Raw genomic sequence first — 14,630 nt, 5'->3', positions numbered from 1 at the left:
GATAAAGTGATACAAATATGTGCTTTCTTTGACCAAAAGCTCTAGGAAAGAACAGTAACAGAATTATACTCACCAATGCAACAAACTATAAACTAGGTCTGAAAATGGTTTAGCAACATGGATAACAGGTAACAGTTGCAGATGGCCTCATAAGAGAGGGTAGACTTTAACTGACAAGTGGAAATGCAGAGACAGATCTCCAAGTTACTTTTTAAACAAGGAAATAAACATTACTGCCTTCAAATGCAGAGTTTTAAGGCCTGCCACTTGTAAGGAGCAGTAGAGAAATTCAGCCTGATTTTATTGAGGTATTCATGTATGTGGCCAGCACTGGCTTTGGTTCTAGGGATAGGAAGAGAAGTAAACCATGGTCCTTACCTCTACAGAGCTGACCGTCTTCCAGGAGTGGTGGAGAACGACTTTTAAGCAGTCAAGCCCACTGAAAGTAGATGGAGCTAGAGTAGAGGCATGTACAGAGCATCACAGACCCAGAGGAAAGATGATAGATTGTCAAGAATGAGGTGTCTTGGGGATTCACTTGATTGCATTGGTCTCCTGTCTTGTTTTCTTGCTTCTGCTATTGCCTTTATGATCTATTCTCCGCATAGCAGTCAAAGTGATCCTTCTGAAAACTTAATGCTAGTAATATTATCCATTGGCTACAAATCTTACAGTGGCTTCTGTCCTCCTAGAACATAATTCAGAGGCCTTAGCCTGGTGTCACATCCCCTGAGATCTGGCCTCTGATAACTCTCCAGCTGCAATTTCCTTTCCTTTCTTTTTTACTGTAGGGGTTATTGGAAAACTTTCCCTTTGGCCTCTTGAAAGTTCATTGTAAAAAGGCAGGTTAATAGGAGAAAAAGAATACAAATTTATTAACATGTATTGGGGAGAGAACCACAAAGTGAATACCCCAACTCCTCAGTGAAGTACAGAAGCTAATATGCCCTTTTTCATAGGGGATGGGGAGATGGAGAATGTAGATAATTCTTTTGAGAGGCATTAAGTGATTGTTAGGGAGAATGAATGAACCAGGGAGACAGAAATTAACTTGCAAAATGATTCTCTTTGGAATTCGAATGAATCCAAGAGGCAGGCATTATTTTGTGGAACAAATTATAAGATCTTAAAGAAAGGGAAGATAGTTGACACCTTTATACCACCTAGAGATTACAGAAAGAATAGGGGCTTAGATTATGGTAAAATAAGTTACGGTAGCAAAACAGGTTATGGGAGGGAGAGAAGAGGAGGCCTGGCTAGCAAAGATGGTCTTGTTAAACATATGAAATTTCATAGAGAGCATCCTCAGAGAGAATAGATGGTAAATGCTTCTTTCAGACCTTTAAGATGTCAGAATCTCAATTAATCTTTCCTAGATCCAGAAAAGGTGAGGCCTTCAGAGAAAGCCTGGCTGTATCAAGGCAGATTTTCTTTACAGTTGCAAATCTCCCCTACAAAAGACAGCTTTTCAGCTATTTTTACATGTCCAGCTTTTCTAAATAACCATCTAGAAATATGTCAAAAATATTTTGAGGTAAAATAGTTTGGTTTTTATTCATGACCAAGAGCCTTTTTGCTACTCCTCCAGTTCAGTTCATTCATGCTGTTGGGACCTTGTTCCACATTCCTGCTGCAAGACTAACCTTCCTTTCACCTTTTTTAGGTGTCTATTCAAATGTCTCCTACTCAGAGAGAACTTCCCTAACCAGAATGCTTCAAACAGATCAACAGATAGAATACTTCTATCCCTTCTTCTTTCTCTGTCCCTAAAATGGTTTTCTCTTTTTTTCTATATCCTTTATTACCACCTAATGTTATTTTATTTATTAATGAGCTTGCTTCATGTCTGTTTTTGAACACAGAATGCAAGCTCCATGAGGGCAGGGACTTCATCAGTCTTGTTCACTGAAATATCCCCAATCTCTAGAATAGTGCCTGTCACATAAAAGATCTTCAATAAATATTTTTAAATGAATGAAAGAAATTGGAAGTGAATTTCTAAGAAAAATTGTAGTTAGTGGTTAAAAATGATTAGCAAATAGAATTTTCATTTAATCTGGATCTTTGTCCAAAAATGAACACTTTCTTTCATGAGTCTTTCCTCATGAGGTGGGATTTTAAAAAGACATTTAAGCAAGTTCTAAGTGTTCATATTGTAAGAGGAAATCCATGCATGCATTAGGCACAGATTTGGATTCAATGAGCCCAAGGTCCTTCTGATATTAATGGTTCATGATTCTATACATAAAATTATTTAATCACAAGAGGCCTATGGTCTAATACAAGATATTTAAAACTGTTTCAGAAGGCAATCATTTCTTGGGATGTTAATTTTTGTGATAAATAAAAAGTGATTCAAATACATTCCAAAAAATTTGGATTAAGTAAATTGAAATAAGCTCCTTGATAGAATGAACTTAACTATGAATGGGCATTGTTAATTTTGAAAACAAGAATAACATATATAACATTAACCAGTTTATTTGAATGAGAATATATTGGTTACAGAACAACATATACTTTAGGAAACACTTTTTCCAACAAAACAAGTAAAATTGATGGGACTTAGCAAATGTGCAAAGTGTAGAAAATGTGTTCTCTGTTCCACATCTTGGTTTTCTGAGTACCTTTCCACCACCTTTCAGTGCCCTCTTACCTAAAGCAGCTCAGAATTTCAACCTTCTCTGTATTTCAGATATTATGAAGAGCAATCTGATAAACATTCTCCCCCACCCCCACCTGCCTCCCAACGTTGTCTGTGTAGGAGAGAACAAATGTGCGCTCAGCTTGGGGACAGAGTTCCTCTTGGTGGGGAGAGGTCCCCATTCCACTTATTTTTGTTTCCCTGCACTGAGTCTGACTGCTCTGCCTCTCCTCCATTACTATTAACAACAGCTGAAATAGAAGGATTGCTTTTAGTAGTGAAGACACAATGAAATGAATTTGGGAGGCTTGCCAAACATCTCCTCTTTCTGAGCCTCCACTGAGATTTTTTGCTACCAGCTATGGAGAAGGTCAGGAGAGAAAGGCATGATGATAAACTCACTTATAAAATTGTTCTAACAAAGCATCTGTGAGCTACTGCTTGATCAAAATGACAGACATCAATCAGAATAATAACTTCAAATATGAGATTTTCAATTAGTGAGTGAACATAAATAAATGTGTCTGGAAAATCAGCATAAGGAATTTTAGATAGAGACAGCCCATACATAACAAGAGAGAGGAGGGCAGCAGGGAAAAGGTATACTATTCAGCAAATGCAAAATAGCCCCCCACCAGAACACAGAGTCAAAGACCTAGAGAAATCAGCATGCAGATCAACAAAGACCTATGCACACTTATCCTTGAGTGATGCTTTTGAGCTCGTGAACCTTATTAGAGGTCTGCAAAGAAGACTAGCTTCCATTTAATAAGGGGCAGAATAAACCTTTCTGGGATGCTTAACTTCGTTTCCCAGACCTCCCTTACCAAATGCAGTAAGTCAGACAAATTATCAAAATAGAAAGTCTAGCACACAGAGGGGATACTCTGTTGGAGTGTGAAAGAAAGAAGAAGAATGTTAGGAAGGTCAGGGAATTTTCCAAAATGTTGATTTTGGCTTTTCAGCTGACTAAATAATCCAGAGTTTACCCCATGGTGTCTGACAGCAGAATAAAAAGTGATTAACGCAACCAAGACCTATAGAGGGCAACGGGCTTACTTTTCAAGCACAAACAAGGAAGGAGAAAGGAGATGATGCTTGGCTGGTGGTGTGCTTCACACACTATACAGCTACTCTAATTATAACAACAACAGTAACAAAATAAAACCTTCCAAACTCTATGCATATTCCACCTTTCATCAGAAAGCCACCAAAGTCTTTTCAAACAATAACTCATTAGTCTTTACAATACCCTTGTGAAAAGAGTTAGATATGTATATGTTATTAGCACTTTGCATTTCCATTCTATTTATCCTCTAAGGAACTCCAAGTAGGGGTGGATTCAGACTGTAAAGCAGAAACCACTTCAAATTGATAGATGGTTTGAGAGGAGGGATTTGCCATGGCTGTGAATATGCTTTTCAGCAGGGAAAAAAAAAAGTATTTTGTGGAAGGGAAAGAAGGAGGAAAAAGGAAATGAGTAGGTATCTGCCTTGATGATTCTTTGATTTTTTTTTTCTCATATCTGTGTAACAAAGTGCTCTAATTTCAGCCACAGAACACTTGGTTACACTGAGGGGAGTCTCAACCCAGTTGTCCCATGTTAAAGAAGTAGAAAGCTGACTTTTAGGTCCTTTTCTTCCATAACTAGTCCGATGTACATGTGTATTTCTCTAGTTTTTGGTAGCAAGTAGCCTATCATGGTTCAAGAAACTTCTTTTTATTTATTTATTTATTTATTTATTTGAGACGGAGTTTCGCTCTGTCGCCAAGGCTGGAGGAGCGATCTCGGCTCACTGCAAGCTCCGCCTCCCGGGCTCACGCCATTCTCCTGCCTCCGTAGCTGGGACTACAGGCGCCCGCCACTACGACTGGCTAATTTTTTTGTATTTTTAGTAGAGACGGGGTTTCACCGTGTTCGCCAGGATGGTCTCGATCTCCTGACCTCGAGATCCGCCCGTCTCGGCCTCCCACAGTGCTGGGATTACAGGCGTGAGCCACTGCACCCGGCCGAAACTTCTTTATTTTATTTAATTTATTTTATCTTATTTTAGGCAGGGTCTTGCTCTGTCACCCAGGCTGGAGTGCAGTGGCGCGATCTCGGCTCACTGTGGCCTCAACCTCCTGGGCTCAAGCAATCCTCCCACCTCAGCTTCCCAAGTAGCTGGGACTATAGGCACATGCCACCCCGCCCATCTAATTTTTGTGTTTTTTGTAGAGACGGGGTTTTGCCTTGTTGCCCAGGCTGGTTTCGAACTCCTGAGCTCAAGCGATCTGCCCAACTTGGCCTCCCAAGGCGTGAGCCACAGCGACTGGCCTAAGAAACGTCGGCATTGCTCATTTCACGCTGAATGCCCAGGATCCTGGGTAGACACTCTTGGCTCTTAGCTGGGAAAAGCAGCTGAGGGCCTGAAAAGGTTGAATTATAACCACTGTAGACATTCTGCTTTGTATCTAATGGCTACGCTTTTCTTAAGGAATTTTGCCTCACTGGTGTTCAAATTAAATGATCCTTTCCAATATGCAACTTCTCCAGGAAGTTTCTTAGATATTTCTTGTGATCTCAGCTTCTTAACAAAAAAAAGAATGAGAAATGTTTAGAATGATCCAGATGAATCCTCAGTTTGGTTAAATGGTTTTATCAAATATTCAGTAAGAATTTTTTAAACCCTATGATTTGAGGATACAATGTAAGATATATAAAATAATGGCCACAAAACAGCACAGGATTATCGTATGTACAGAAATAAATGAATATAACCAGTAATCAATGATCTAAGCTAATATCATAGACTAATAGGAAAAAGAGTTCTTGGAATATGCTAGCAGTTTCTCATGTGTCATGGGAGAGTTCTTTCTTTTTGTGATGCTGTTTCTGACTTGAGAAGTCAGGTCATTCTTTTAGACTGTACTGATTTATGATTTCTTTTTTATTATGTATCATGAAAATTTTAAAACTTGAAGAACTGTGTTCTATTACCCAGATTTATCAAAAGTAAAATTGTTTTGAGGACTATAATGTTGCAAATTCAATTGAAACGACCTTTACCGTTCCTTAACTCATTTTGCTCTTTTCTTCCCCTGGGTTAACCACTGTCTTTTATTTGGTGAGTATCTTCACATTTGTGCTTTTTTACTTTTATTATTTATGCATATATCCATATACAACACTTAAGATTGTTTTGCATTTAAAAATTTTATGCACCAGGCATTTTACAATGCAAATGATCTTGCTTTTTAAGCCAATATTATCCTTTTAAGATAATTTTGATAATGTAGATATCGTTCATCGTGTTTTGATATAAGTTTTAATCAGGCAATATTTCAATTAGATAGAAGTATGTACAAAAGTAATAAACTATATCTCTGAATGAACAACTTGGTATTAACACATGGAAATCTTTTTGCTGTATTTTAGATTTCTCTCTTCCTTACTTTTTCTTTCTTTAATACTAGGAAACATGACTGATAGAGTAAATCCTCACCTTTCATCCCTTTCCTTCTCTCATTCCCTAGAAGTAACCATTACTCTGAAGTTAATATGTGTCATTTCCATGCATGTTTTTACAATTTTATTATTAATGTATCATTCTGCAAATAATATAATTTATGAGTATTTATAGTATGTTATCAAATTCAACTATATTTAAAATATTCATATACACAACAAGTTGGAAAGAATTTTACAGTGAGCACCTACATACCTTTTACTTAGATTTATCAACATTTTGCTATTCTGGCTTTATTACACACCCATTAATACATATTCGTTTTTGGATGCATCTCAGACTAAATTGCAGAAATCACTTACATGTTCTTTTGCAATTGCATTTTTGCTCATTATATTTAGTTGATTTGTTTTAACTGTTAGTAAGTAATTGATTAAAACAGTAAACATTTACCTATATCTACTAGTGGTTCGAAATTATATGGACTATAATTTTTCGCTGTTATTAATAATAGTGAAATAAATATAATTTCACGTCATTCCTTGTATAACTGCATAATTTTTTTAAATCATGTAGGTGTAGAAATTGAATGGCAGGTCATAGAGCATGTGTGATTTTACTTTTCCTATGTATTGGTAAATTGCTTTCCAAGATAGCTTTACCAGTTTATATTTCAACATGTCACTATTAGAGTTCCCATTTACCCACAGCCATCCAAACACTTGAAGTTGTCACCTTTTAAAATTCTATCAATCTAATGGCTTTCAAGTGATCAAATAATCACATTGTTTTAATTGACATTTTCCTCATAAAGGGTAAGGTCCAATATGTTTTTAATGTTAGACATTTGCTGTTGTTCTTTGTGGAACTTTATGATCAGATCCTTTCTCATTTTTCTATTGCACATTTATTTTTCTGATTGACTTATAGGTATAAATTATATATCATGCAATGTAAGCTAATGTCATATATTCACTCAATATTTTTTCTAATATGTGGTTTTAATTTTATTTGAAATGTATTTTTTATATGAAGCTTTAATTTTATACATCTCTAGTTGTGTTTTTTATATCTTCTTAAAGATGTTCTTAAAATTTTTAGTATAGTAAAATTTTCCCTGTATTTTCTTCTGAAAGTTTCTAAGTTCAGCTTTTAGCACATAGGCCTTTTCCATGTGAAATTGATGTAGGTCTATTTTGTAACTCAGGGATCTATATTTATTTTTTACCAGTGAATAGCTATTTTCCAAACAATATTTGCTACATTGTCTCCCACTGGCTTTTAATACCTTTTTTTGTCATGCATCAAATTTTCACATACAAGTGGGTCTAAGATTGTTTTTCCATTCTGCTCCGTCGTTATAATATGTCTCTACTGCTCCAGCATTACAGTATTTTAATAAATCTTGTTAAATAATAAGACAAGTTTTTATTCCAGCTCCTTCTTTCTTTTTCTTCTAGAGTATTCCTTGTCCTTTATCCTTCCAAATAATTCATGGGTCAAGGTCTTCAAAACACTCTTTTACAATTTTATTTGTAATTAGATTAAAGTTATATGAAATTACAGTTAAAATCAACATATTTTATGCAATTAAAATCTTATTCGAAGTTCTTCAAAATTGTGTTTCCTAAATTTTCATATGTCATTTACAATATCTTTTGTTAGATTTATTTGTAAGTGCCTTTTCACTATTGTTGTCATTTTAAGGGTATCTTTTGTCATTACTTTACAGATGCATGATTGCCAATGTGTAAGGCTGTTAAAAAAATCATAGCTTTTTTAAGATAAATCTTGTCTAGAGCAATGTTGCTGCTCATGCTCATTCACAGGTTATAACAGACGGTTCTTTGCAACCAGTGTGGCTTTATCATTAAGTTTTAAGTCATCTGTTTAATTTGCCAATTCATTAGCTATTCTTTATCAACTTAAGGATATGCTCTTCTATTCTCATGTTACTATAACTTTTTGTTTATCATCGATAAGTGCTTATTTGATTCAATTTGTTCTCTGCATCTATTAAGATATTCTTAATATCGTTGCCCTTTAATCGTTCATAAAGAACAGTAGGTTTTCTTACATTAAACCATCATTGTATTACTTTGTATAAACCCTAGTTCTTTTATTATGATGCTGAATGTAGGTTTTAAGTTTTTATTGCTTTTTAAATTTTATATTCATGTTCATGGTAACATTGGTCAATCATCATAGTTTCCTACATTTTTTCTCACTCAGTCTTAATAAAAGTTCTCCTGGCTTTATAAGACAAATTGGGTATCCCTGTAAGACATGGCTTACATATGCTTGTAAATCAATCTGAGTATAATATGTATAAAATTGGGCAGTGAAAAAAGGAAGAGGGAATTGTTGATTGTTATTTCCATAGTCTGTAATACATTGATTTTATTTACTCTGTCTCTTTGAATTTATTTTTGCAGTTTATACGTTTCTTTCAGATTGTCCGTTTCATTTTTCACCAAATGTATTGGTATAAAGTTGTTCATAGTTTTAAACTATGATTTTAGAAAATTAACACTCTATTTGAAGTTCTTTTTATTTGTAATATTATTTAGTTGAGCAATTTTTTATTTCTTGAACAGCCTTGCTAGAGTTTTAAAATCCTTGGTTAATCCTTTTGTTAATTGTTTGTAGGAAAAAACTCAATTTTATTATTTATTATATTGTTGAGGTTATTTGTTTCCCATTTCATTTGTATATGCTTTAATCGTTATTTTCTCCCTTTTACTGTTTGTATTAATTCTATTAGTTTTCTGGCTTTATCAGTTAAAAGTTTATTCATAAATTGCCAATCTTTGTTTATATTAAACAGAGAGTTTGGAACCATATATTTACATTTATATTTAAATTTAAATACCATTATAGCTCAAAAAGTTTGTTTATTGATTCATTTGCTAATTACTTCTAATACTATTTTATTTCTATTTTTCCTTTAATTCAGAACTTATATAGGTTTATTCACTTAAAACATTCTAAACTTTCTTCATTATCCAATTTTACATTGTTCATAGCTAAACTTATTAAGATGCTGTCAGAAAATACGGCTGATATGACATTAATTATTTAAAACATAGGCCGAGTACAGTGGCACATGCCTGTTACCCTAGCACTTTCGGATGCCAAGGTGGGCGGATCGTTTAAGGTCAGGAGTTCAAGACCAGTCTAAGCAACATGGTGAAACCCCATCTCTCCAAAAAATATAAAAATGAGTCAGGCATGGTGGCACACACCAGTGGTCCCAACTATTAGGGAGGCTGAGGTAGGAGGATCACCTGCGCCCAGGAGATTGAGGCTGCAGTGAGCTGAGATCACAACACTGCACTCCAGCGCAGGTAACAGAGCAAGACCTTGTCTCAAAATAAATAAAATAAAATAAAATAAATAAAATAAAATAAAATAAAATAAAATAAAATAAAATAAAATAAAACAATGTGTAGAAACTTCTTTTCCTCCTTAGAATGTAATCAAATTTTTAAAAAGTGTTCCATATATATTTGAAGAAGTCTATTTTATGAGCATAGAGTTTTACAAATATTTGTTTAAAAATTTTGAAATTGATGTAGAGGGAGATGGGTATATTCAAATTTGTTAATATGTTTATTTTAATCATTTAGATGTTGACTTTTTATCTGCTTGATCTTTGAGTATCTAAATATATATATTAAAATATTTGGTATTAAAAATTTATTTTTCTAATTATATTTTTGCTTCATATTTTGACATAAAGACTATTCATGCCTACAGTTGTTATATATTATCGGAATTGCTCTTTTTATCACTATATCACTACTCTCTGCTGTATGACATATGTTGTATGACATTAATGTTACTATATTGTTATAAAGCATTCCTTTGGTTATTGTCTTTCATAGTATCTGTTTTATTTTTACCTCTTTTTCTCATTTTTAATAATTCTATGTCATTTTGTTTTAATGTATTTTTTTTTTTCTTTTTTTGAGATGGAGTCTCGCTCTGTTGCCCAGGCTGGAGTGCAGTGGCGTGATCTCAACTCACTGCAAGCTCTGCCTCCAGGGTTCACACCATTCTCCTGCCTCAGCCTCCCGAGTAGCTGGGACTACAGGTGCCCGCCACCACGCCTGGCTAATTTTTTGTATTTTTAGTAAAGACGGGGTTTCACCGTGTTAGCCAGGACGGTCTCGATCTCCTGACCTCGTGATCCTCCCGCCTCGGCCTCCCAAAGTGCTAGGATTACAGGCGTGAGCCACTGCACCTGGCCCTGTTTTAATGTATCTTTTAAAGCAGCATAATAAAGATTTTAAGACTGTATCACATTTTCTGATATTAATAAGAAAGCTTAATTTCTTTATATTTATTGGAGTTCTTGATATATTTGAAATATTTCTACCATACCTAGTGTTTTCTGTTTATAATATTTTTCTTTTTTACATTTTTATTTTCCTTCCAATATTTATTTAATTATCAGAATTTTATTTATTTCCTTTGTTTTTCTTTCTTCTGGTTTGGAAGCACTGCATTATATTTTTATTATTTCTAATGTTTAGCCATAAATATATAGGTACATTATACATAGATTATAATGTTACTGGAAGGAAGATCGTGAGTGAGAGTTGTCCAGGTCCTTGGTGTTTTGAACAAAGGATTGAACAAAATGCACAAAGTAACAGGAAGGAAGCAGGGAAAGCAGGAAGCAAAAAAGCACTCCACAGGGTGGGAGTAGGCCCTAGCCTGCAGCTCAAAGGGCCTGGGTACAAAGTTTTCTGGGTTTTAAGTACTCCTTTTGAGGTCCCTATGGGCTACCCCTTATCTGGATAAAGGATTTGGTCCATGGCTAATTAAAGACTGAGGTGAATTTGTGCCCTATGCAGATGAAGGGATGGCTTATCCTTGGCCCACTGCCAATCCAGGACACTTTCCCATTCCCTCTGCGATGTGGTGGAAGGGGGAGGGTTGCAGAGAGAGTAGCCTTTGATCCTTTGTTACTTGGGCAGGGGGAGATGGGGTTTTTCCTTTTGGTTGAGCTTTAGGAAGTCGGTGTTAATTGGCCTTAGATTCCCTGCCCCCTAGACCTTGGTGTTTTCCTTTTATTCAGCTTTAGGAATTCAGCACGAATTGGCCTTAAAGTCCCCTGCCTCCAGACCCTATTATCTTGCCTCAATAACTCTTTATTAACAATCTAATTTATTATTGGTTTCTCTTTCAAAATACATGGACAGTCTTATGTTTTAATAACAGATTGAAAAAAATCTCCCAAATATTCTTATTGTTTTTAATCTAGAGCCTCAATTCTGTCTTTTAAAATATGCAATATAGTATTACTTATTTCTTGTATCTTTTTTTTTTTTGAGGCGGAGTCTCGCTCTGTCACCCAGGCTGTAGTGCAGTGGCGAGATCTCAGCTCACTGCAACCTCTGCCTCCTGGCTTCAAGCGATTCTCCTGCCTCAACCTGCCAAGCAGCTGGGACTACAAGTGCCTGCCACCACACCTGCTAATTTTTGTATTTTTAGTAGAGATGAGGTTTCATCATGTTGGCCAGGCTGGTCTCAAACTCCTGACCTCAAGTGATCTGCCCGCCTTCGCCTCCCAAAGCGCTGGGATTATAGGCATGAGCAACTGCTACCAGCTACTTATACCATAAAGTTAAATAATTTACAACATATCTATGTCAGTATTTACCATTTTTGTAGGATCTTACCTTACCCCTTGCTAAAGTTGATTCTTCACTTGAGATTTCCTTAAAGACCTATGTATAGTTTTTTGTTTATTTGGTTGGTTTTTTTTTTTTTTTTAAGATGGAATCTTGCACTGCTGCCCAGGCTGGAGTGCAGTGTCTCTGCTCACTACAACCTCCGCTTCCCGGGTTCAAGCGATTCTCCTGCCTCAGCCTCCTGACTAGCCAGGATTACAGGCGCCCGCCACCATGCCCACCTAATTTTTCTATTTTTAGTAGAGACAGGGTTTCACCATGTCGGCCAGGCTGGTCTCGAACTCCTCACCTCAGGTGATCCACCTGCCTCGGCCTCCCAAAGTGCTGGGATTACAGGTGTAAGCCACTGCTCCCAGCTCATTTCTTATATCTTAAAGTTAAATAATTTACAGCATATCTATGTCAATATTTACCAGTTTTTTAGGATATTACTTTGCCCCTTGCTATAGTTCATTCTTCATTTGAGATTTCCTTGAAGACCTATGTGTAGTTTGTTTTCTTTGTTTGTTTGTTTGTTTTTTTGAAGGAGTCTCATTCTGTTGCCCAGGCTGAAGTGCAGTGGTGCAATCTTGGCTCACTGCAACCTGTGCCTCCTGGGTCCAAGCAATTCTCCTGCCTCAGCCTCCTGAGTACCTGGGATTACAGGCGCTCACCACCACGCCCGGCTAATTTTTGTATTTTTAGTAGAGACAGGGTTTTGCCATGTTGGTCAGGATGGTCTCAAACTCCTCACCTCAGGTGATCCTCCTGCCTCGGCTTCCCAAAGTGTTGGGATTACAGGCGTGCCTGGCCTATGCGTAGTTCACTCAGTATTTGCGTAAGACAAAACATAGCTATTTTGTTAATTTTTCAATAATGCTGATTATACAACTGTAGACTGATGAATGTTTTTCATTCACCCATTCAACATTATTACTCATTATTGTGTGGCATCTCCCATAGGCAATGAAAACCCTGTTCTCAGTCCTATTGCAGTCTCTGTGTATAATATCTGCTTTATTTTGCTGGTCATTTTAAACTTTGATATTCATTATTTTTACTATTATCTGTCTAGGGGTCAATTCCCTTTTTTTATATCCCATTTTTTATTTTTCTTAAACTTTCAGTTTTTAGACTTGAGCTTGAATTTCTTCAATTTGAAAGCATTCAGCAACTGTGCTTCGGATATTGCCTTTTCTCATTCGATTTAATCTTGTCTTTGAGAACTGCCATTATAAGTAACCGTGTTCCAAGGCCACTTGCTATGATAAACATGTGGCCATGATAGTTCCAATATCAAAGGCAGAGAGGATGAGGTATGCGTTGACTCACCTTGCCATCTGGACTGAAGTCTGTTTTTCTCTGTAGCATTGTTTCTCCTGTTGTCTGGTTAGGGCAACGAGGTTTTTGCAGAATGTAACCCCCATCCTTTGTTTCACCTGTTTCTAATTGCTATATCCAAGATAGGGTGCTTGAAAGAACAGGATGCTGGCTTTGATTCTGATTCTTCCATTTACTGCAAAGGGATGGTCTGATCTGCAACAAGAGGCTGCAACAGGTGTCTGATAAGCGTAGGACAATACCTGGGTTTGTGTCCATTTCCACATCTGTAGTATAGTCATGCATTATTTCTTAACTAATATGACTCTTATGATATTAAATAGGTTGATATTTTTAATGTGCTTGAAAGAATGTTTCCAGGTTCTATCCTTTCTTCCCCTCACACCTCTATCCTCTCACACTCCATATCTTACAAACATTATTTCCTAAGTCTCTCAAATCCCCATCTGCTATCTACCTACCTCTGCTTTAGTGCAGACTTTCGTTATTGCTCTCTGGACCACTGTAATAATTTCCTAACCTGCCTTCATGCCTCCAGCTTCATCTCAGTTGAATCCATCCTCCACAATGTCACCAAAATTCTTTCTGAACTGCAAATCTGTTAACATTACTACTATTCAAAATTTTCTGGTGGATTCTAATCACTGTCATGTACCTTAGTGTTACCTGTATTAGCTTCTGGCCTTGTTTCTGCAAACTCCTCTCAAACTATGATTTTCTACTTACCTCTCTTTTTGATTCTCTTGATCTGTATTCAGTTCCCTAATTGTTTATGTTCTGTCTGTCCTCTGCTTGTGTCCATGTTGTTCCCATTTGGTATACCTTACCCAACCATGGCCACTTGCCTAATCATCACTCATTTCCCAAAGGTCAATGCCAGCAGCTCCTCTTCCTGACAGTGTTTCTAATCTCAATCCCCAGGCTGAGGTTGAGAAGCCTTGTTCATATTGGATAAGTGCAGATACTGTGGCACTTACTCCTTTGTATTGTGATTTTGTCACAAAGGTCATTTTGTTCCTTCTTTCATTGATTCTAAAGTGAACTCATTGAGGGTAGGAACCAAATGCTTCTAATCTCTATGTCCAAAAAGTGACCACTTGGCACACAGTGAGACAGCTTAACAAATATTTGCTACATTCGTGAGCAAGTGATTCACTTAATGAATTTCGATAAATAATTCACAGTGAGGCTTGTGGAATAAAGATGGCTACTATTAAAGAATTAGGATCCTTTAAGACTTATTTTTAATATTACCATATAATTTAAAAGCTAAGAAGTAAGCACCACCCTGGTGATCAGCAATTTGCTAGCAGGCATATTGAGTCACATAAAGGATATAAGATAATTTTGGGTCCTCATGATGCTAAGAGACATTAAAAGAAACAGTTAAATTTTTCTATAGTAAAATACAGGTTGTTATTTTGAGCCTTAACATCCCCAACAATTTTGTGAAATTCTGATTATGTTAGAGTCCTAGCCTTTTTCATCGATCTCCTCCCTTGAAGTAAATGCTTA

The 14,630-nt window shown here is 36.2% G+C and overlaps 1 long non-coding RNA gene across 1 annotated transcript in view, besides 1 other annotated feature; it reads left to right on the top strand.

Moving 5' to 3' along the window:
* Window positions 1-14,630, top strand: part of MIR924HG (MIR924 host gene) — a 545,072-nt gene that overhangs the window by 55,483 nt on the left and 474,959 nt on the right. The gene's annotated exons all lie outside the window — the stretch shown is intronic.
* Window positions 10,725-11,295: an enhancer, noted in NCBI's record as "OCT4-NANOG hESC enhancer chr18:37265182-37265752 (GRCh37/hg19 assembly coordinates)". NCBI's record gives its function as "activates a minimal SCP1, AML or CMV promoter by ChIP-STARR-seq in naive and primed H9 embryonic stem cells {active_cell/tissue: H9 hESC(naive and primed)}" and the evidence as "EXISTENCE:reporter gene assay evidence [ECO:0000049][PMID:30033119]".

Source organism: Homo sapiens, chromosome 18 (assembly GCF_000001405.40).
Source record: "Homo sapiens chromosome 18, GRCh38.p14 Primary Assembly".
NCBI classification, from domain to species: domain Eukaryota; kingdom Metazoa; phylum Chordata; class Mammalia; order Primates; family Hominidae; genus Homo; species Homo sapiens.
Note: the sequence above shows the minus strand (reverse complement) of the source record. Positions and strands in the feature narration are given on the sequence as shown.